General features: G+C 38.7%; 1 long non-coding RNA gene across 3 annotated transcripts in view; it reads left to right on the top strand.

The window, feature by feature from the left end:
- LOC124905213 (uncharacterized) overlaps positions 1-14,131 on the top strand; it is a 275,363-nt gene extending 261,232 nt beyond the window's left edge. For all 3 annotated transcript variants that reach the window (XR_007068324.1, XR_007068325.1, XR_007068316.1), the window contains one exon: positions 10,128-14,131. This is a non-coding gene — a long non-coding RNA (uncharacterized LOC124905213). The remainder of the gene's footprint in view (positions 1-10,127) is intronic.
- Positions 14,132-24,965: the final 10,834 nt, after the last annotated feature.

Here is a 24,965-nt window from a genome sequence, read left to right as displayed (position 1 = left end):
TCCTTGGGAAAACTGATGAAGCCCGTTGATATTTTGTAAAACTTACTCTTTATGATCCTGCTATGAAATAATGAGAACAATGCCTTTTTGCACTATTATGCAATTTTGTCAGAAAAGGCATACCAAAAAAACCCCACAACCAATATTTGATTTATGTATTGCTCAAAGGATGTGCTTGTAGTTGCATTAAACCTTTTTAAAAATTATAAGATAAGACACCTTTTTGGAGGTTTAAATTTTTAAAAAAAAAATTTCAATCAAACATTCAAAAAATTAATGATGATATTGTGGTTCCTATTTTAAGTAGACTTCCTTTAAGTGACCCTTTTTCCAGTAGCGATTATTTCTGGATACATGGACTGCCTCTATTGCCCAATTATCTTCCCCAGAGGTGGCATCAATTTGCATTTCCACCAACAGTGTATGAGAGTGCCTGTTACTCATCTTGGTGAACTTTTGAGTTATTGACGATCAGGTGGGTGAATAAGACATCTTCATTGCTGTTTTTATTTGCATTTCATTAATCATGAATAAGGTCGAACATATTTTCATGTGTTTAATGGCCATTTGTATTTCTTTTTCTGATAACTGCCTGTTGCTATTCTTTGCCTGTCTTTTGTGGTGGTGGTGGGGGTGTTGTTCATCCTTTTGTCACTGATTTGTACAAGCTTATTGTAAACAATAAACAAAGTCATTTGTCATATATGCTGCAAACACTTTGTCAATGTGTCTTTTGTCATTGTTTCTGACATTTTCAGAATTTGTAGTAAGCACAGTTTACATTTGGATTCTGACATTTGTATTTTGCTTAGGAATTGGTTTCAAATCAAGGGTATAAATTAATCCCCTTATGTTTTCATCTAGCATCTTTTTTACTATTAAAACCTTTTGTCCATTGAGGATTTATTTTGGTATAATAAATGAGGAATGAATTCAGCTTTTCTGTGAAACAGTCACAAGTGCAAACATCATCAAGTGAATCATCCATATTTTCTTTGCTGATATGAAATGCTACCTTTGTCATATATGAAATTTCCATATGTATAGCAGTCTAATTCTGGACTCTATTGCGTTCTGTTGGTCCACTTATTTCTTCTCTACTATCAAACTCTTAGTCTTTGCAGGTTCACAGTGCTCTTAATTCTGCTCCCTTATGCTCCTCTTTCAGAATTTTTCTGGCTATTCTTGCTTATTTTCTGTCTACCTTGTCTGTTACAGATGACAGAAATGTGTTAAGATCAACTCCTACTACTGTGTTTTTGAAGATTTCTCGTTGCATTTTATGCAGTTTATGTGCTATATATTCTGATTCTGTTATTTGGTACATGAATATTTATGGCAGTTATATCCTCATTGTGGATGGTGTCCTTTATCAAAGCCCCCTTCCCCCCTTGAATTCAATCTTCTCTGATATTAATATCATGACCTCTGGTTTCTTCTTTCATCATTTTTATGATATATAATATGTTTTATAGTTCAGTAGTGCTGTTTTGATTCACAGCTTTTTTTTTTTACCTCTGTAATCTCCCTTTTCATCTTATTCTTCTCATTCCGTTGTTTTATCATTTGTCTTTGATGTCTTGTCTCAATGACTCCATATTCTCTTGAAATTTTTCTTTTCCTTACCAAGGGATGTTATTTTCAAGTGTGGATTCAGTATCTGTATTCCCATTTCTTCCTACTCTCCCTTGCTTTCTCCCACTCTCCTGCTCATTCCTGTAGTATTTTTGCAAAGCTGTCATTCTATAATCTTTTCGCAAATCTGTCATTCTATATCTTTTTATTGTACTCATGTTTAAATTAAAGAATTCTCTGAGAAATTCTAAACATAGTGGGATAAATTTCCCTTCACTCCCTTGGCATTCTGTACCTCCTTAAGAGCCTCAGTTTGAATGCTAGGCATTGGGTGTTCTAGCCACATTCTGCTGCCCAAGGGCCGTCACAATCTGTGGATTTCTGATTTCCTCTCTGTAATTTCCTTAAAATGCCTGTAACAAGATTCATCCCACTTGGTTCAATGATTATCCTTACTAGGATCCTTATTATGATCACAATCAGTTTGAGGAAACTTTAAAAAAGTACCAAGGCTTGGACTTCACCCTCTAAAAGATTCTAATTCATGTGATCTAGCTTGAGGCTCAGGAATTGGCATGTTTCAGCAGCTCCCCATGTAGTAACTCTAATACAAAGTTAGGACTGGGAACCACTGACCCAAATAGTGACACCACCTATTGCACATAGAGTATCTTAGGCTTCAAGTTGTTTAAAATGAAGTCCTCAAACCTTTCTTTCCAACAAATACAATTAATGTCAGAAGTCAACTTTTCCCATTTTATCCACCCATTCTAGGGAGTAGAGAAAAAAAACACTATAAAACCTTTGGGTTTTTGCCACAGTACTATTATCCCGCAGGCTTGAAGGGAGAATTCAGCAGCACATGGCCATGAGCTTCTTGTTTTTGAGCCCTTTACTTTTTCAAATAATTTTATCTTATTTAATTCCTTGTTTGTTTATTATCTTGTCTACTCTCAGTTATTGCTAAAGAAAATTATCTATGGATGATTCTAATTGTTATGTCTTCTTACAGCAGGATCTGCCCAAATCTGCAAAAACCAAAATGAAGGTTCACCGACTTCTGGTCTTTGCTGAGATATTGAGGTTCATAAAGAGTGGCTTCTCTTCTTGTGAGAAATTTTCCAAATCTTTTCCTTTCAATCTAGTTTCAGGACTTTAAAAAATCCACTTACATTATTTTCACTGTACTAATTCATAGGAGATAGGGGCTTGATTAGAGCTATATCAATGAAAACTGTGTTTCTCATTTCCTTTACTGCAACTTTTCAAAGATTGTGGTGTATGAGCCTTTGCATGTTTGCTGCTTAATTTTCATATTTTATATTTATTATTATTCTTTTTGTTAAATTTTGGGAGTGTACTTTGTTTGAACTAGCTTCACTACAACCTCTTACCCTTAGAGCTCATCCGTGTCGTCTTTATTTATCAGCTTCATTTGTATTCATAAAGTGCTGTAATTCTTGGTTCTGTGTCTTCCCCAATCCCCCCTGGTCTAGGGTGTCCAAAAGCCTATATTTTCTAAACTGTGATGTGATTTAGAGTATTTACTCCAATACTAGGATGGCCTTGTTTTTGAGAATTAGCCACAAGCAATTAACAGTATAGGCCGGGTACAGTGGCTCATGCCTGTAATCCCAGCACTTTGGGAGGCCGAGGTGGGTGGATCACCTGAGGTCAGGAGTTGTAGACCAACCTGGCCAACATGGTGAAACCCCGTCTCTACTAAAAATACAAAAACTAGCCGGGCATGATGGCACATGCCTGTAGTCCCAGCTACTTGGGAGGCTGAGGCAGGAGAATTGCTGGAACCTGGGAGGCAGAGGTTGCAGTGAGCGTAGATTGCACCATTGCACTCCAGCCTGGGCAATGGAGCAAAACTCTGTCTAAACAAAAAGAAAAAGAAAAAGAAATTAACAGTATAGGCAGTTCAATTTGTTATTCTGTTGCAAAACATAGAATATTCTATTGTCATATTTTCTACCAGGATGTAAGACACAAAAATACTTCAGGCAACTTTTTAGAATAAAATAAACCTCAAAGGTATGACTTGGGAAAATGTGGTAATTCAACTGACATTTCAGAAAAGTTTAGTTCAGATCTGCCCACAGAGGAGTTAGGAAAGGCTACCTCTATCCCTTAAAATAATTTGCAGATATATATTCTTCTCTGGATGATATTGAGCAGTGATGTTCACTTGGCCTCAAGGTTAATGTTTCTTGGTATAAATGACCAAAAGAAAGTTGCGTCAGATGCTTTGTCTGCTTATTCCTTCAATGAATTTTGATTAGGTGCCTTCTATATGCTAGGCTCTGTTCTAGATACTAGAAATATAGCATTTATATCAAAGGAAAATATCCCCTGCTCTTCTAGAGCTTATATTTTAGTAAGGGAGATAACAAAAACAGACAAAAGAAAGACCACATTTTTATCAGGTACTGGGGACAAATAAAGATGATTAAAGGGATAGAGTGATGAAGTGGTATTGGGGGCTACCTTAGGTAAAATGGTCCGGATAGTCTCTCTGCTTAAGTAACATTTAAGCAGAGCTTGTTTCGGTGTTTTGGTGGTATGTGAGTGGGAGTGAAAAAATAGTCACATAAGATGCACTATGAAGAAGGTAATCTCCAGTTATATAATTTTTGTGAGCTACTGAATGCTATATTTTTATCTCAGAGATTCTAAATGAAGATTAATGTAGTAAAGGCTCTTGCAAGTTCCACAGAAAAGAAAGTAGTTAACTTTGTATACCCTAGTGTTTTTCAAATATATTCAAAGACATTTGTGTGTAATTCATACCCCAGGGAAGGAGGTGTAAAGAAATTCTGGAAAAATGTGATAGGATAGCTGCAATGTCTCAAATACAGAGAGGTCCCTCTTTAACTGGAACCCAATTACTTAGAACCCACAAGTATAGAAATGTCTGCGCTGAATCTTCCCCTTTCCATCACCCTGTCCCCAACCCACTTTGAGGAAAAAGAGGTAAATGTTAATAAAATAGGCTGAGATAGAGGATATAAAACATCAGAATTTTAAGAATTAAAATAAATTCCACAACTACATTTTCATGGAATTCACTGGGCTAGAATACATTTAGCCCAGTGTCTTATCATTACTGTAGATATCATGTTGTGCTGTATGTTCAGGAGACCCTGAGGTGCAACAGATTTGTGGGTACTCAAAGAGGAATTCTGCTATGTTTCACCAGCTAAACTTTTTCAGATACAAAAAGAGGGAATCATTTTAGGATGATTTTCCATATTGGGGGTTGAATCCAAATTCTTTCTTAATCTGTATAGTTAACCAGAAATTATAAATGATCCTAAGCCCTCACTTTCCAATATCCATTTCGTCAAGTTTTCACAGGTGACCACTAGGTGATTGAGTGAGGCCAGGGTCATGGGGTGGCTACTTTCAGTCACAGTCCTGAGTGTATTTGCTGAAATGGGCAGAAGCATTTAAAAATACACTGGGCAATATATAGCCTCTGTCAATGAGGAGAAGAAAACTTGTGGTGCTGAAGTTTCTTCCAAACTCCTGTGTATATTCAAATGTGTTTCTACAGTTTAGGCTGCCATTTTCAGGGTTTGATCTATGAGACAATAAAGTCTTTATTCAAATGCAAAGAGTCCTTAAAAGATCTATATCTTACGGTGTTAGCCCACTTTCAGAAGCATTAATTTAGTGGTTCCCAAACTTCATTGTACATAATAATCCCCTGGGGTGATTGCTAAAAACACAGTTTCCAAGGTATCTGTTCCATAGAGATTCTGGTTTAGTAGGTTTGGAGTGTGGCCCAGTTATCTGCTTTTGTAACAACTACCCAGGTGATTTTGATGCAGTGATTCAAGTATCACAATAAAATAAACATTAGATTGGTTCAAAGCTCTCCCATCCACATTCCAGAGGCCTACATTCCTTGCTTTCATTTTGGCTTTAACACTCTGGAGCACTGCCATCAATAATCATCTGGTTTGTCAGCACTGGCACTGGTCCTCCAATGCTGTCTCTTCTATGATGAGCTTGCTTCTTCTACTGAACTATATAATAAAAAAGGCTATAATAAAGCTTCTTACTGGGTCTCTAATTTTTGAAGCCAAGAGGTCCCCTTTCCATTTCCCCATATAATGAATCTTCAAAAGGGCCATAGTCACAGCACAATTTAACAATTTTTTGAGAGTCTGAGGTTCAAGGTCAAGAGGAAGATGTTTTATGCTTTCAAAGCAGTGTTATTAATGGAGCCTTTAAGACCTTTATAACTGGAAAGATTTCTCAAGAGGTGTCACCCTCAGGGATTCAGAATCCAACTTCAGAATAAAGACTGAAATGTTTTTTGTCCTTAAAACTCTAACACTGTATTTAATAATTTTTACAATATTGCAAAACCAAATTGAATGCACCAGTACATAAAACACCATTTAATATTCTAGGCAATTCATTTTTAAAGAGGAACTGTCAATATTTTGACAAGCTTCAAACTTAACTTATTCTTACAAATGTCAAGGTTAAGCATCAAGTTTATCTCATCAATCTTTGTAGTTTTACAACTAGGAAAGAAACTAGCCAACCTTATCTTAAGGATCATAAAAACATTAATTTAGTGAATCAGCAGATCTGAAAAATCTCTGTCTCTTGTTTGTTCCTTTACATAGGCTATGACAGCTGAATATTGTTATATTATCTTGGAATTTGAATAAACATTGTAGAAAATCCAGTCTTTGGGAGAGCATACATGGTTATCATTTCTACTGTCTGAGAAACTGCAAATATCTTCTTAAACAGTGATATCTCCTGGGTTGGGTAGTGAGCTGGTTGCAGCTCACTCTATTTTCTTTTTTTTTTTAAATTTTATTACTATTATACTTTGTTTTAGGGTACATGCGCACAACGTGCAGTTTTGTTACATATGTATACATGTGCCATCTTGGTGTGCTGCACCCATTAACTCCTCATTTACATTAGGTATATCTCCTAATGCTCTCCCTCCCCCCTCCCCCTACCCCACAACAGTCCCCGGTGTGTGATGTTCCCCTTCCTGTGTCCAAGTGTTCTCATTGTTCAGTTCCCACCTATGAGTGAGAACATGCGGTGTTTGGTTTTTTGTCCTTGCATTAGTTTGCTGAGAATGATGGTTTCCAGCTTCATCCATGTCCCAACAAAGGACATGAACTCGTCATTTTTTATGGCTGCATAGTATTCCATGGTGTGTATGTGCCACATTTTTTTTTTTAATGTTTTTTTTTTTATTATACTTTAAGTTTTAGGGTACATGTGCACATTGTGCAGGTTAGTTACATATGTATACATGTGCCATGCTGGTGCGCTGCACCCACTAACGTGCCATCTAGCATTAGGTATATCTCCCAATGCTATCCCTCCCCCCTCCCCCGACCCCACCACAGTCCCCAGAGTGTGATATTCCCCTTCCTGTGTCCATGTGATCTCATTGTTCAATTCCCACCTATGCGTGAGAATATGCGGTGTTTGGTTATTTGTTCTTGCGATAGTTTACTGAGAATGATGGTTTCCAATTTCATCCATGTCCCTACAAAGGACATGAACTCATCATTTTTTATGGCTGCATAGTATTCCATGGTGTATATGTGCCACATTTTCTTAATCCAGTCTATCATTGTTGGACATTTGGGTTGGTTCCAAGTCTTTGCTATTGTGAATAATGCCGCAATAAACATACGTGTGCATGTGTCTTTATAGCAGCATGATTTATAGTCCTTTGGGTATAGGGATCTAGAACTAGAAATACCATTTGACCCTGCCACATTTTTTAAATCCAGTCTATCATTGTGGGACATTTGGGTTGGTTCCAAGTCTTTGCTATTGTGAATAGTGCCACAATAAACATACGTGTGCCTGTGTCTTTATAGCAGCATGATTTATAATCCTTTGGGTGTATACCCAGTAATGGGATGGCTGGGTCAAATGGTATTTCTAGTTCTAGATCCCTGAGGAATCGCCACACTGACTTCCACAATGGTTGAACTAGTTTACAGTCCCACCAACAGTGTAAAAGTATTCCTGTTTCTCCACATCCTCTCCAGCACCTGTTGTTTCCTGACTTTTTAATGATCGCCATTCTAACTGGTGTGAGATGGTATCTCATTGTGGTTTTGATTTGCATTTCTCTGATGGCCAGTGATGATGAGCATTTTTTCATGTGTTTTTTGGCTGCATAAATGCCTTCTTTTGAGAAGTGTCTGTTCATATACTTCACCCACTTTTTGATGGGGTTGTTTGTTTTTTTCTTGTAAATTTGTTTGAGTTCATTGTAGATTCTGGATATTAGCCCTTTGTCAGATGAGTAGGTTGCAAAAATTTTCTCCCATTCTGTAGGTTGCCTGTTCACTCTGATGGTAGTTTCTTTTGCTGTGCAGAAGCTCTTCAGTTTAATTAGATCCCATTTGTCAATTTTGGCTTTTGTTGCCATTGCTTTTGGTGTTTTAGGCATGAAGTCCTTGCCCATGCCTATGGCCTGAATGGTATTGCCTAGGTTTTCTTCTAGGGTTTTTATGGTTTTAGGTCTAACATTTAAGTCTTTAATCCATCTTGAATTAATTTTTGTATAAGGTGTAAGGAAGGGATCCAGTTTCAGCTTTCTACATATGGCTAGCCAGTTTTCCCAGCACCATTTATTAAATAGGGAATCCTTTCCCCATTGCTTGTTTTTCTCAGGTTTGTCAAAGATCAGATGGTTGTAGATACGCGACATTATTTCTGAGGGCTCTGTTCTGTTCCATTGATCTATATCTCTGTTTTGGTACCAGTACCATGCTGTTTTGGTTACTGTAGCCTTGTAGTATAGTTTGAAGTCAGGTAGTGTGATGCCTCCAGCTTTGTTCTTTTGGCTTAGGATTGACTTGGCAATGTGGGCTCTTTTTTAGTTCCATGTGAACTTTAGTTTTTTCCAATTCTGTGAAGAAAGTCATTGGTATCTTGATGGGGATGGCATTGAATCTATAAATTACCTTGGGCAGTATGGCCATTTTCACGATATTGATTCTTCCTACCCATGAGCATGGAATGTTCTTCCATTTGTTTGTATCCTCTTTTATTTCCTTGAGCAGTCGAGAAATGTGGGTGTACTTAAGTGTAGCAAGTGTGAATATTGGGGAAGTTGATGCTCAAGAGGACCATTATGAAATCCTTTATTTAAAGCAAATACATGAATTGATATTTCCTGTGTATTTCCACCCTCTTACCTATGTCTATTCAAATAATCCCTACCCCAATACTTTATAAATCTAGATTTTCTCATAGTGAATTTCCTTAATATAGAATATGTGGGCCATGCAAAGTCCAGATAGAGATGGCCTTTGTGATGCAGAAATAGGATTTGGTATTTGGACAAATTTCTATGTTAGAAAAGAATGGTCCTTGTTGTTGTTTTGGTGCTGCATGGTTGTTTTCCCCATCACAAAAAGTGGAGTTTGTGATTAGGAGTTAGCAGTCTGCAAAATGAAACCCAACTGGGTTGCCGAGAGGCAGGCAGCTGCAAAGGAAAGCTCAGGCAATTATGGGTTTGAAAGAAGAATGAAAGCTTTCCCTAGCCATTCATGATTGTATAATCAAATCTGTATCTGTCAATTGCTAGAGTCAGATCATGGAGTTCGCCTAAGATTACATAATCTGAAACCCAGGATGTGCAAAACCCATTAAAAGAACTACTTGGGAAAATGAGCAAGGTACTATACAGAGTTTGAAATTGCCTTTCATAAGTTATCTCTGAATAATCAAATCTAGGGAGAAGAGGAGCCAAGTGGGAAGTAATGGACATTTTGCTAAAGAAGAAAATAAGCATTTCTATGTTATTGTTTCTTCCCTCAAATGATCATTATAATAATAATAATAATTTTTAAAAATCTACTAAAGATCTCGCTTGCACCACTTGTGAGTGAGAAATCAATAGGTAGTATTTCCTAAAACCTCCACTTTAGTCCATTATTCCCAAGTGCAACCCCTCCTCTTCTGTCTTTTCCTTTTCTCAAATAGGTTTTATTCAACTAACTCTTCTATTTGGGTTGATGCTGATTTTCTTCCCTTCTCTGGGTCTTGCTACCTATGCAATATAGGTGTGGGAAACGAACTGTAGATAAGATGGTACCTGGCCCATTTTGTATCTAATCAGAAGATGAACACGTTTATGCTAGTAAAAGTGTACACAAGGCAGTCATCCAGGCACTCTATCCTATAACTTATATTATTGACTGTTCTGCACCAAGGAAATTGTTATCCACGACATATAGAGCTCACTCTCTTGGTCTAAACAAAACTTTTATGGTAGCCATATTGGCAAAACACTGCTGACATAAATTTTATGTGGGGATAAAAATATGCTTGGACGGGTTAAATTTTATATGGATATATAGATTTCAGAATTCAAACCTGACAAATTGATGAGATGGCCAGGGAGAGCTGAATTTTCTTTTTTAAAAGGTGATAAAAATAACTCAAGGGCTGTAGACTAAGATAAAAATAAATGCTCTACATAATGTATTTGATGTAATTTATGATGTCTTTCCTGTGGCTGTTCTTAACAGATTGGAAGGAAATGGGGCTATAATGCCACTGGGCCCTGCTTTCAGCCAGCAGAGGTAGTTGGTGTTGATTCCTTCCCACTGAAGGCTCTTCCTCCACAGTGAGTATAATAGATACAGGGGGATGGTATGAGGCACCAGTCAGTTCCTTCTTCAAGGAGGGACTATGCCGCACAGGTACTGAGAATCAGGTTAACAGACAGCCTCCAGCTGCCAGTCCCTTCAAGGTTTACGTCAGCTGCACGGGGTCACTTCACCCTAGGCCACACTACTTCTTGGAGCATCCATATCCAAGGTGGGGGATAAAAAGGCCTGATCATCCCAGCCCAACCTGCAACGACTCTGAAGGGCCATTCTAGCTCCAGAGCTCCCTGTGGGGTTGGCCAAGTCTGTCCTTTAGCTTGCAGTGCAGCTTGACATTTCCTTCTGTTCCTTTCAGCTTCCTTTCTTTCTCTTCAACAAGTGCTGCCACTGCAGGTACTCCTTAATAACCATCCTGGACGCTAAACTCTTTCTCGGTATCTACTTCCATGGAAACATAACCTGGGACCAGGGCCATATTATGACTTTTATGAGCCCTAGGCATTTTTGCCTTCATTTACCTATTCTTCCATAAGAATGTTAAAATTATATTTTATAATTGTATTGGTATAAGAATGAATATATTGATATTATATATTAAAACACTTTTTTCTACCTCAGAGTTAATTATTTATTCTTATTTTAGAGCAAAGCAAAACATTTTTTTTGTGGATCCCAGGCCCTGTACCTACTATGCCTAATGGATATGTTGGCCCTACTTGTGGTAGGAGCCAATTGCGTACCAAGCATTAGACAAAATTATGAAGCTTGGGAAGATTGTTTTTATTGCTCTTTCTCTTTCAACCTTAGGTCATCAGGTCCCCCAGCTATTGACTACTTTTCAGGGAAACCAACCTATAGTGAGCTCACCTTTTGGAAAGGATCATTCCTATTAAGATGTGAATGATTGGTAAAGCTGAGGTTTCATTATTTTAACCCTACAAGAGGGTAGTTATGGAGGCTTGCTTTGTATAACAGAAGAGTTCTTGTTACTGATTGGGTCAATTTTCTTCTCTCTCCCCACCTTCTTTCTCTGTGCAAATTTCCTGTTGCTCCATTGAATCTTCTTAAGGGAACATAGATTGAGCTTCAGGCCTGGGAAAGGCTCAGATTGCCCTTACCCATGGCACTATTTGTGTGTGGATGAGTAGGGAGGAGTTGAAACAAAAGTAAAAGGGACCACCTAGAATGACCTGATTGCCCTCTTCCTCTCAACTCCTTGAAATCATAATTCTAGACTGATTAGCTATCTTCTTTTTTGGCCTGCCTGGGCACTGGATGGTTCTTTTTTGGTTGTTTTTAAAAATCTAAAAAATGAATATGTTTGAGTGCTTGCTATTTACCAAACATTGCTTTGGGGTTCTTTATATACGTTATCTCAATTAAGTATAGCAGGATATCCTAGCTAAGCCTGATCTTGGATTCATAATCTAGCTGTGTGCTGAGTCAGTGGCTCACACAGTATCAAACTACATTAACTGAAGCATCTAACAGGAAAGAGACCTAAGAGAAGTAGGCTGCTGTGTTTAGGTGACTAGGGATCAGAGATAGAGAATGGTTAATGGCAAGGGCAGTATGCCCAGAAAGGCAATAGATCATTTCAACTAAGAGCATAGATTCTAAAGTCAAGCTACCTGGATTCAAATACTGACTCTGCCACTTACTTGCTAAGTGATCTTGGGCAAGTTATCTAACCTTTCTGTGACTGCCTTTCCTTACATGAAAAATGCAGATAAGTACTAACTTCATTGGGTTATAGAAAAAAATTAAATCTATCAATATATACAAAACATTTAAAGCAGTGTCTGATAATTACCTCAAAATATGTTAGCTAATGCAATTATGGGGTCTGTTGCCCTTACTGATCCCATGGACTGGTTTTCTTAGCCCCTATGTACCTAAAAACTACAGACAGAAGCTGAAGTTGTTTTTAGAAGCATCTTTGTGAGACCGAATACTAATAATTCTGTTTTGGGTCCAGCTGATAAAATACAATACACACCTGGGGAGAAGAGCACCCTCCTCTTTTCTGCATGGAACCAAAAGGTGTCATTTGGTAATTTGGGGGTTTGTGAATACTAAGAGATAGTCCTCTGATCAGGCAAGCTGTACTCTTATCTGGAACCTGCTCCATGAGGTCAGGAGATGGATGCAGAAATGACTGTTAACTTGTGGCAACAAATGATCGAAACTATATCAAGGTGGTATGGCTTGCTACAGTCCTTCCAATACTGTCTGCCCCATTTATGTGACCTGATGTGACTAGGCTCAGAACCTGGGATGGGGTTTGGAAGAGCAGCAGTTACCATCTTCTTGCAGGTAGATTAGATGCTTGGCTGAATCACCCTTTGCTCTCTGGGTACCAGACCCAGTGTGACCAGTACTATGGCTCCCCTCTAGTGAGCCTCTATCTGGAGACAAATGTTTTCTGGAAGGCCTTTACTGTAGAGACCTTTTCATTAACAGACTTATTAGGCAGACAATGGGGGATGAAGACAACTCAGAAGGGGTAAAATATGGGGGTTGGTATGTGTTGATTTCAAATAAGTGTCTTTGCCAAAATGAAATAATTACTGTATCTAGATAAAGCAGACTAAGTTGGAACAAGCAAATGTTCTTGGCAGGAAGTCAATCACATGCTACAAAATTCAATTTATGAGCAGCTACAGACAGCTTTAAAATATTTTTTTTGGCTTAAAGTGATGTTGAGTTATTGAACCCCCTTTTGTTAAACGTTTATTAGCAATCCAAAATTACCAATAAGTGGATCACCAATTTGTTTGTCTTATTCATAAATAATTACTCTCCCTTTCTGTCAACTTCATCTTTCAGAATTATCATTACTAAATTTCTCAGAATATTGGGGACATAGGCTTCTTTCCTACGATCTACTACTAGGGATCTGACTGGCCCATTGCCAATAAGCTTCCATCTTAATGGTGACCTTGAAAGAGATTGTAAGTAACATTTAACATAAATCTTTCCTATTCTAAAAACAAATAAAATCTCTTCCTTGATTTCCACAGTCCTATTCTTTCATTCTTTTTCTTCTCATCCTAACTTCTTAAGTAGATTACACTTATTGTCTCCACCTTCACACCTCTATTCCCTCTTCATTCTGTTGTAAATTGGCTTCTGCTGTCATTATCCACAGAAACTCCACTTGCAAAAGTCAGCCCTCTCACCAGGCATTGTCCACTCATAATCTATGTGATGATGATTCCCAGATCTATATTTTTAGCCCCAACATCTCCCTGAAATGTCAGCCTTATATATTTGATGGCCTGCCAGTATCTTCAGTGGGATCTCTCACAGGCAATTCAAACTCTATATGTCCAAAATGGAGCTCATCATTCCTTCCCATCAAATCTGTTCCTTCTTCTGATGTCCTGTTTTGTTACCCAGTTGAAAAGTCGTATTATACTCCTTTCTTCATTTAACTTTCTACATCTAATAAATCACTATCTAGTTGGCTTTCTCTTCTAAATATTTCTTGCATCTGTCCTTTCTACTCTATCCCTACTAACGGTCTCTCATTTTAACTTCTGAACTGATAGTAGTTTCCCAATAGACCTCTGATATTCTCCCCTTCAGTACATTCTCCATGCAACTACCAGGCAGACCTTTCTGTTATGAAATCTGACCTTGTCATTTATTTGGTTAAAACTGTGCAAAGCTTCCCTGTTACCTACTGAATAAAGCTAAACATAATTCATATGACATATAAGGCCCTCCAAGTCTGTATCCTGCCTACTTTTCCAGCTTTACCTTAGAAATGTATTTTATTCCTTCCTTATGCCATGCCATTTCTTGCTTTTCTACTTTGCATATACTACCACTTAGTCTAGAATGCCTTTCTCTCCCTATACCTAATTGATCTGTAGGATTTGACGGATCTTTAAGATTCAGCTTAGGTCTATCTTCTTTTTTATTTTTATTTTTATTTATTTATTTTTTTGAGATGGAGTTTCGCTCTTGTTGCCCAGGCTGGAGTGCAATGGCGCACGACCTTGGCTCGCTGCAACATCCGCCTCCCGGGTTCAAGAGATTCTCCTGCCTCAACCTCCTGAGTAGCTGGGATTACAGGTGCCCACCACTGTGCCTGCCACCCCGCCAAGCTAATTTTTTGTATTTTTAGTAGAGACGGGGTTTCACCATGTTGGCCAGGCTGGTCTGGAACTCCTGACCTCAAGTGATTCACCCGCCTTGGCCTTCGAAAGTGCGGGATTACAGGCGTGAGCCACCGTGTCTGGCCAGGCCTGTCTTCTTTAGGAAATAGTCCGTCTGCCCTCTCCACTACCAAGGTTGGCTAATATCTCCTGTGTGGTCCCATAATACCATAATGATTGTGTATACATCTCTCATTTTGCCTTCCCCATATTGTTGTAATTCTTTGTTTATATATCTGCTCATCCCCTAGACTGTGTGCTCCTTAAGGTTACAGGCCATGCCTGTCTTGCTCACAGCTGTATCCTCTGCATCCAACACCATCTATAGTGTCTATACAGTAACTCAATAAATGTTTAAAAAAATTAATAATCACAATAACCACTTCTATTTCTATAGCATTGTACTGTTTATAAAGTTATTTTCTACATATTGTCTTATTTGAATCAACACAGTCAGATTCAGGATGAAATGAAAGCTCTCCTAAAAGGGAAGCAATGTAGTGGAATGGGTAGGAGTTTATTTAGGTTTTGGAATCATATAGGTCTAGCTTTGAATCCTGATTTCACAACTCTCTATCTGTAACCTTTTGAGCAAGTCACTTAATATCTCAAAGGGTTGCTTTTCACATGTGTAAAATGGGAATAATAATAGTTCCTACTTTATAGGGTTGTTGTGAGGATTACCTGAGATAATTCATACAAAATACTTAGAACAATGCTTCGCACATAGTAAATGCTCAAGAAGTATTATTATTGTTGTTATTATTTTTATAGTATAATAATTATTGTTATCCCTCATCTTTTTTCCCATGTAGATTTTCTTCTTCATGCTTGAGCTAGATCATTCATACCATATATAAAGCACTTACAATAGTTCCTAGCATATAGTAAGAATTTAAAAAGTGATACCTATTTTATCTATTATTGTCCTACAGCAATGCTGTCCTCTATACCTGCTGGTTTACAAATAGGGCAAAAAAGAATTATTTTGGCTTTAAAAAGTATTTATCTTTTGCCTTAAGCTGGGAAGAAGTTGACATGTTCATGTCAACAAAATACCAATTATAACTTATTCTGAGTTAGTGACAAACTCTGAGAAACATTTTCTCAAAAAATTAAAAAATGATCGTGCCCCAAAAATTCAAAGAAAACTTACTGAAAGGAAGATGAAGAAAATGGAGTTTCCAATGGATATGTTTAATGAACTGCCTAATTTAGGAACTGAGTTTGAATTTTGAAAGTGTACTCATTATTGGGTGGCAAGCACATAGGCAAGAATGAAGATAATGTTCTATGTGTCCAGTATCCTGGAGGAATAGAATATGTGAAATTATGATCGGGGAAACAGACAGGAAATACAGAAGCAGTTATTGGAACAAATGATTTCAACAGATTAGCAAATTAAGTATACAGCTGAAAAAGAAAATTAGAATAGAACATTTGTGACATAGTCCTGACATTTTAATCAGAATATTACCTAACTGATATATTCGCATTGGTAGAATAGAAAGCTAGGAATTGCTTTTTTTCTTCTTTTTGATTTATAATGTAATCTGAATTGATTTCTGAATAAACTCCTCAAAGAGGCAAGCCTGATAAGATTAATACTGAGGTCATTTGCTGGCATCAGAAAAAATATTGCTAATTGTTTCCTCATATGGTATCAGTGGGAGAGAAAATCCTTGTAGATGATTAGCTTTCAATAAGGGGAAGGCCACTGGATTTAAAGTGATAGTTTCATTCTTGTCTTTAGCAATAAAGCAAAGACCAAATGGAAGGAAAGGGCTGCAGATGTCTATAGTGTATAAAGTGGAAAACAGGAGAATAATTTAATGTGGATAGTGGTGCTGATTGATACAACTCAATCCAATGCATATTTATTGGGCATCTACTGTGTGATAGGCATCATGTTAGAGGCACCAGGGGATACATAAATGACACAGCTCTTGCCTCAAGCTGCTTGCAATTATACTAATGGTAAAGATAATTGCAAAAATAGTCATATCTACAGAGTTTATGTGTAGCCCTAGGAGCATAAGTAATTGCTGCCGTGTTAGCTAAAGGCAGAATGTAACTGGTGGAGAAGGAGGATTTCTCCTCACTTATTTCAGCTTGGGGCTTATTGGGATTGACAGCGAAGATAATAAGGAGGAAGTATTTTGCAGTGGTCTGCAGATTAGTTGGGCAGCAGTGGTGGCACAGAGGCCTTATGGGAATATGCAAGATTATTGTTTGTCGGTTGCCCAGGGGCATCACTACTCTTCCTGACTCTGAATTTGAGAAAGATGGAGTGATTTGGAAGGGCTGGAGTTTTAGTAGGTCTTCGGATTGTTGTGTTTGTAACTGGGCTGCCCTCTTTCTTGTCATCATGCTTAAAGGCTGCCTGACTGATTGCTGTCTTGCTTCCCAATGGACTTTTATGAGGCGGCCTATTGACTGGTTTTCTTTCTTTCTTTCTTTCTTTCTTTCTTTCTTTCTTTCTTTCTTTCTTTCTTTCTTTCTTTCTTTCTTTCTTTCTTTCTTTCTTCTTTCTTTCTTTCTTCTTTCTTCCTTCCTTCCTTTCTTCCCTTGTTCTTTTGCTTTCTTGCTTCCTTTCTTGCTTTCTAACTTCCTTTCTCACTTTCTCACTTCCTTTCTCACTTTCTCACTTTCTTGTCTTTCTTCACAATTGTGTCCTCACAACTGGTCCTATAAACATTTGGTACATAGGGTTTGCTCAGTATAATAGAAATGCAAAAAGTGTGAGCACTTCAGAAGTACCAGCTTCTTCAAATTACTGCATAGTCATTTAAAATCATTCTTATCTATGCATTAAAGCAGAATTCCTAGTAGGTGGCTGCTATGATTTGAATGATTCCCTCAACAATTCATATGTTGGAAACTTAATGGCCAGTGTAACAATATTAAGAGGTGGGGTTTTTAAGAGGTGGTTGGGTCATGAGGGTGAAGAGCTCATGAAAAAATTAATGTTATTATCATGGGAGTGTGTTAGTTCCCAAGAAAGCAGGTTGTTTTAAAAGTCAGCTTGGCTTGCTCTTGTGGTCTCTTTTGCATGTGATTTCTTGCCTTATCACCTATCTATCATGAGATGACCCTCGCCAGATGATGACACTGTGCTCTTGGACTTCCAAGCCTCCAGAATCATGAGAAAATAAACTTCTTTTCTTTATAAATACCCAGTCTGTGGCCCATTCTGTTACAGCAATAGAAAACAGACTAAGACAGTGACTGTATAAACCAACTAGTTGTTGTGCCTATCCCATGGGTGCTTTCATATGTGTTGTGCCAATGTCTATAGGACAGGCCAAGTGAACTTTTTGTTAACATGAAAGTAGGGAATGATAAACTGGAGAAAAGAATTTGAAGAACAACTAAAGGATAGGACAAGCTGGCCCAAAAGGAATAAGAAAAGGAAGAGAGCATCAAAATTAGGAGTGAGAGACAAAGAAGAGATTATAGATTGTTAGAGGTGGCAGTGTTGATAGACAAGTAATTCTTTTAAGTAGATAGCAAAGTGTGGTTTTAAGAGAATAAATAGAGGGAGAAAAGAGGAGAAATGAGGAAGAGTGGGAGTTACTAAGAGAATAAGAAATAGATAAAGAACGCTTGATTATCTTGTAGTCCACAGACTGAGACCGTAAGGCTGATATGAAATTGCTAAGTTTCCTTTGGAACCAAGAACAGGATTGTAGGGCTCACATACAAACCCTTGAAGCAGTGACATTTTGATTCAACTTGGGACATCATGAAAGTTCTCAAAAACCCTAATATAATGGACAATGTTCATTGATTGTGGCAAAAAAATATGTCTGTTCTCTCAGGCTGAAGAGTCACCCTGTACTGTGCAGCATGTCACAGAAGTCGAGAGAGAAGATTGTAAATTGCACTTTGAACCTGGCCTCGAAGTGCTCATCCAGGCAGCTGGGCCAGGCTGAAGTGAACACGAATTCTGCACAGGCGAATAATGATAAAAAATGTCGTTTGCAAGTCTTCTCTGTCAATAACAAAGCTCATCTTTTTGTGCCAGCAAGACATTGCAGGCAGCCCATGTTTCAAATTCAGTTAATCTCAAAATAATTCAAAAATCAAAGAGCTTATTCAACCATCAAGATATACCAGATTGACTCACTGTGTATTCATAGAAGAGATTGTATTTGAGGGAGGCAAAGGGAAGAATCCAATATCAGAATCAGTCAAAGAAGCAGTAGTTTTTGTTCAGTATAAATTGTTTTCAGACCACACAACTGCACTGTGAATAGTAAGAAATATTGCCAAGGAATAGTTGATGATGGCATCATTTGCATTTTCAACTGGAGTAAAATATAGCATCTTGGATCTCTGCAATTAAGTGGTCTTTGCTTCTCCCACATATTTAGGTGTTTCCTTCTCACTGGTTTCCCCTTTTAGTTGTTAATTTTACACTCTGCCCTTGCTATGGGCTGATGTGGTATAAAAAGTTAGCAAGTAGCAGAAGCATCAGGTTTGTAATTTGTTACAATATTATCATCTTTATACTATTTAGCATGTGTGTTAGCTAGTGCTTTGGCTTGTTTTTAGAGTTTCCCCTTCTATTTTCTCAAGTGTTTCTCAACTAAGGGGAAAGGGATGGGGTTTTATAACTCTTTGAGCCTCACTTCCCTCATCTGTGAGATATGGACTGTAATCATACCCTAGAAGCTTCTCATTAAGTATTAGCTCTCCACTCCCTAAATTTACCACTCATAATTTTATAGATGTGGAGATTGCAACTAAGGGAGAGGTAAAGAGTCTCGCCCAAGGTTGCAGCCCTGTGAATGCAGAGTTGCCAGCTCTACAAATGCACCCACTATCCTTTCCCAGTGTATTATTTGAAGCTAAGTGAATGAGATAAGGTAGGAGAACTGCCCCCCTTAGAAGTTATATTGAATAGGGAGCATTCATTACCATATAGTGTACATTGTTCAATTTTGATGTAAAACACAGAAGGCAAACTGGATCAAGGAGTTAGAGGGGAATAGTTAGCAACATCTCTCTACTCCAAAAGGGGTGCTGAGGCTGAAGACAGTCCTTTTTCACTCATATATGTACTCAATATAGATCTACAATCTCCTGTTCACAATTCCAAAATCCGAGGTCTGAAACCTGACCTTTCTCTCTCTCTCTCTCTCTCTCTCTCTCTCTCTGGTAAATTTGGTCCCCCAACTCACTGACAGCAAAATCTGTCCTTATCTAATATATGAGGCATTTTATATGCTTTATTAATGCAACATGAAGTGAGTATTTATGTGATCCACTACAGATATATTAATATGTTAAATTATGAGATGATACCCCAGATCTTGTTGGGGGTGCAATTTATAGTATATAGCCCACATTATCTTTCTCAAATCTGAAAACATTCTAAATTCTGAAGCACTTATGGACCCAAGGTTTTTAGATATATGATTGTGGCTCTATAAATACATATTTAGTCCCTTTAGTGTGCCAAGCACTGTACTAGGTGCTGGGAATGCGACTAGAAATGAGAATGAAGTTGATGCAGCTAACAATTATAGAATACTCACTCCATGTTGGGAGCTGTGAAGTGCTTATGTGAAATCTCGGATTTACTGGTAAGGCTTACCACGACACTTTGTAGCAGTTACTATTGTAACTCATGGTTCCTGCCCTCAAGGAGCTTGTAGCCCCAGGAGGGAAAACAGCAGGTCTATGTGATAGAAGCTAAAGTAACTCTATAAGGGAATTTTATGCCCTCAAGTTGCTACTGCTGCCTGGGCTGAGACCTTGTCCTATCTATTGTCACACTGGTGAATAATGGAGTGGGAAAAGGCCCAGGACCAAGGAGAAAGGAGATAGCAAAGATGGAAAAGGAAAGATAAGGCTAAGAAAGTAGTGGCATGATGGCTCAGGTATCAAGTAACAACATTTAATGGGACATCATGATATCAGTCAAGGTAGGGAATTGGAATCTAAGAGTACATTGCTTGCCATGGGATTCTGGCCATGAGCCTTTAATGCCCTAGTATAGATAACTGTAACAGATAGGAGTTTATCGCACAGCCTGGCTTGTTAGCTTTAGAGGAATGGGTGAGTGGACATCTTAATATGTAGCATCTCTTATTTCTCAGCAACTCCTTCCAAAGGCATGACTTAAGGTGAAACCTTAGGGCCCAAGATTTTCTAAGGGGCAGGAACCTTTCTACCTGAGGCCTGAGGGTGACTGCCCAACCCCTCCTAAGTGAGGGTGAATTTGCCCATAAGTATATAAATAAGGCCTTGCCATATTGCAAGGCTAAGGTCAAATTCTGAAATGAAAGAGAGTCCAACCTGATATAGCACCTGCCTATTTCTAGTGCAACTTTCTTTCTAATTGCTCATACTTGATGCAAGACCTGATCTATGCTGTTCAGGTGATCATCAGTTACAGGTCTCTCTTGGCAACAGGCCATGCTTTCTCTTCTCCCTTGCAGGTAATTGATGGGCTGAAGTGATTAAGCGTGATATACTACATTACAACCATCATTCCCATAACCAAGAAGACATGAGCACACAACGCATCCTCAGTCCTTAACTGATAAGTCTCATGAGCTGTCCAGACAGGGGCCATTTATATATTTGGCGCCCTCATTTTTCTTTCCTCCCTGGGGTTAGGTGCTACAGCTGGTAGGGCCATTAGTCCCTTGTCCCTGCTGGTGAGTTTTGGCCTGTGGCTGGCTTGTCTGTCAGAACATAAGCCTCGAGCACACAGTGGGTAGTAGGATGGTACGAGTGGGTAGAGAGGGGATCTGGAAACTAGCAATCCCCATCTGGTAAGGCAGAGGCTTTGAGGCTGACCTAACTGTAGGCCACATGAACAAGCTGAACTAGGCTGGTGAGAGGATAACAAAATAACATCAGCAATATTTACTATTGTTGTTATAACAGTTATCATGACAACTAGCATTGTTTGAATACCTACTCTGTGCTAGGGGCTTTACATTCATTATTTCATTTAATGGTTACAAGAACCTTGCAAAGTATGAATAATCATCCTTTACTTGCCCAATGCTGCACAGCAAAAGTATTGGAGAAGTTCGATTGAACTTCAAGTCTATTTCTGTCCAAAGCACATACTCTTTTTTTTTTCTTTTTTCTGAGACAGAGTCTCACCCTGTCATCCAGGCTGGAGTGCAGTGATGCAAGCTCGGCTCACTGCAACCTCCACCTCCCAGGTTCAAGCAATTCTCCTGCCTCAGCCTCCCAAGTAGCTGGGATTACAGGCACTTGCCACCACGCCCAGCTAATTTTTGTATTTTTAGTAGAGACGGGGTTCTGCCATGTTGGCCAGGCTGGTCTCGAACTCCTGACCTCAGGTGGTCTGCCTGCCTTGGCCTCCCAAAATGCTGGGATTACAGGCGTAAGCCACTGTGCCCAACCCAAAGCACATACTCTTTTAACTAGACTATACTGCCCATTCAGAAAAGTATCATGCAGCGGAGGTAATGTGCTTGGAATTCTCTGAAAGCAGAACTGGACTGAGGAGCAGATCAGCCAGGTAGCTGCCCAGAGCATCAGGCTATGGGGGCACTGATATAGCACTGGAAGATGTGGAAGAGTGAAGCTCATTAACTCGTTTCCATATGTGAATCCCTATATTATTGGATCCACCACCTTTAAAGCAGACAGAGGCCTTGAAAGAAAATAAAATCACCCCTTACTAGATTGAACACATATCCACTGAGTAATTTTACAATACACATACAAGTTACATGAAGCACTGGAGGCCTTACTACCAATCCTCAAAACAGCCAGTCGCCTAAAGTGATTGTAGCAATCAGTTGAAAATCTGAAAGAGAATAATACATGGTCTAGTGCTGTGTGCCAGGAATGAGTTATTTTCCTGTCGAAATTTTAAACACTTTTAATATGCTTTACAATCAACTTTCTGGTTCAGAAAATTGCATTTAATAAATCCCTTAATTTGAACATAAAGAGGTATTTAAATTCATTAACAGAAAATCAAGTTCATGTTTGCTTTCATATTTCTCTACACCATTTTCTTTATTTTTCCCTCCACTCTCTGCCCACCTCCCTATCTCCCTCCCGCTTCCTGCCTTTTCTTCCCTTCCTCTTCCCCCTCATCTTCTGCACTGTTACTGCAGTTTGCCTCAGCATTGTAGCCCCATTAGCAGTTGCAGACCTACTCAATTCTTTACGTATATGATCTTGGACATCTCCATCCCAGGAACTGCCCCAGTTCCCTGCCATGGCAGTGGACAGTCCATGCTGTCTGGGCCTTACAGAAGATAAAGGGCAATCATCATGGAAAGAAAATGTGTTCTTGTAAAAGGGGCTACCAGGTGCTCCAGCAGCATTGTGCTCCTAACAAAGCAAGGCTTTGATAGTGTGAAAGTAAGACGTGTGGCTTGTATGTTGTGTAAAATGAAGCACGGTATCTTGAGGTTTTTCTTTCCTTCCTCCACTCTGACCCCAATACCTCCAGAGATCTTCACTTGTCAGTAGATGATGCTCTTAAAATCCTTTTAGCCCCCCATGTGGGCAGTACAATTGGCAAAATGTTGGGCAGTCCATGTTAGCAGTGTTAGCATTCTGGTGTCACCCAGAAACGCTGAGTGAAAACGAGAGATAGGGAGTGTAAGCAATTCTGGTGGCCCAGAAGCTGGGAAAGACTGCAAAGAGCCCATACAGTGCAATACCAGTTGAGGACAGAACCATAAATGTTTAAAGCTAAAAGCAGTCCCAGAAATAATTAATGTAACCTCGTTTTTTGTGCAAACAGGAGATGGAGGTCTAGAGAGGAAAGTGCTTTACTAACCTTAAATAACAATTCAGTCTGTGGCACAGCAGGCCCTAAACCCTGGTGTCCTAACTCCCAGGGGAGTGTTATTTCCCCTATCTTATGACCATGGGCAATTTCAGGGGTCTGAATGGAATTGTGTAAAACTATCACCTTAGGCAGCAGCTATTAAAGCCCTGTCCCTTGGGTTTAATTTCCACTTGTATACTCTATATCCTCCTTAGGTCAAAATGTGATCTAAACAACTCACTTAGCTAGCTAGGAAATGGTTTTGCTGTCAAGGATTATTCTAGAATCTAAGTATATGGGATTCAGACAAATACAACTCTGCTTTTAAACTGTCATGTCTTAGTAAAAGAGAGTGAGGAAGGTTTAAACACAAATTGTTTGCTAGTATTTGCAGTATTAATGAAATTGAATAAAGCAATATTAATAAAGGCAGTGGCAGTGTGGACAGGGACCTGGCTCCACACTTATTGATTTGTCTCTCAGACCCTTCAGACAATAGGGGAAATGGCATTTATTTGACATGGTCTTGTTTCATTGCTGTGGCTCCTTTTTCCCTATATGCTTCGGTTTGTTACATCAAAGAAGACTGGCTATTATGAGGTAGGTTATTTATGTTAAATGGAGAATCACAGTGGGTCACTTCACTTCTGGCATCCTTTTAAAAAAATGTCCAGGATGAGTGTTTTGGCTTGGTATGCTCACTGAATTTAAAAGAAAATAGAGCCAGTAGAGAATTTCAGATTGTGCTCTCCAGGTACTAATTTTAATGAGGATGGCCAGGCTGGAAAGAAGACTTGTTCAAGGTCACACAATAAATTAGTGCTGAGTCAGGATTAGAACTCAGACCTTATGACTCCTAAAATGGTATGCTCATTGATGTAAGGAAGTGTTTTCATAAATTTTTCATAAATTATTGTGTCATATTATTTTCAAAATAGTCACAGGGTCTGTGACTATATTGTACAACATATTTCTCAAATACCGTTTGTCTCCAGATGCGAGCTCTAATTCTGAATCTATCATTGACTTGGTGTGTGACCTTGGGCAAATCACTTAAACTCTCTGTGTCTCATTTACCTTCTCTGCCAAAACAGTAAACCAATACCTGCCTCGTTTAGCTCGCCAAATTCTTAGAAGTCTCAAACAAGATAGTGGACAAGAGGTACTTTGTAAAGTGTGAAGTGTTGTGGAGATGAGATTATAGTAGTATTGACGGTTTTAAAATATCCCCAGAAGAGTTTTGCTTTTAGCAATGCAGACTACTTGTTTTAAGGGGCACATTATGACTCTTGTGGGCTCTAGGCGCTTTTGCCTTCATGAGCCCAAAAATATTCAAAATTGTTTTATGACTGCATTGGTATAAAGATTGATATATTAATGTTATGTATTAAAAAATCTTCAACCTAAAATTCCTTTTTTATTTTGTTTTTAAAATGTATTAAGATATATTTCTGGGCTCCTAAAAATATTGAGGGCCTTAGGCATGGTGTCTGCCATGTCTACCAAATCAATCAATCCTGCTGGTTTGGACCAGCCCTCCAACTGAGGGCAATGAGAAAAGCTGGACAAAGTAGAACTAATGTCCATTTTAAGACACTGGGGATCTAACAAGGGAGTGAAGAATTGGGAGACTCAAGGTCAGTCAGAGAGAAGAGAGAAGCTCAGAGAGGTTAATCTAACATTTGGTGTCACTTTCTCCTTCAACGTATTTCTTGATTCCAACGGTATAGCTGAGCTGTTTACAATTCTAGGGGATAATATTTAAAGGTCAGGGTCCATCAAAGAGGAGGGTTTCTGGTAAAGCCC

Source organism: Homo sapiens, chromosome X, assembly GCF_000001405.40.
Source record: "Homo sapiens chromosome X, GRCh38.p14 Primary Assembly".
NCBI classification, from domain to species: Eukaryota; Metazoa; Chordata; class Mammalia; order Primates; family Hominidae; genus Homo; species Homo sapiens.
The sequence above is the reverse complement of the archived record's forward strand: the minus strand, read 5'-3'. Positions and strand labels throughout refer to the sequence as shown.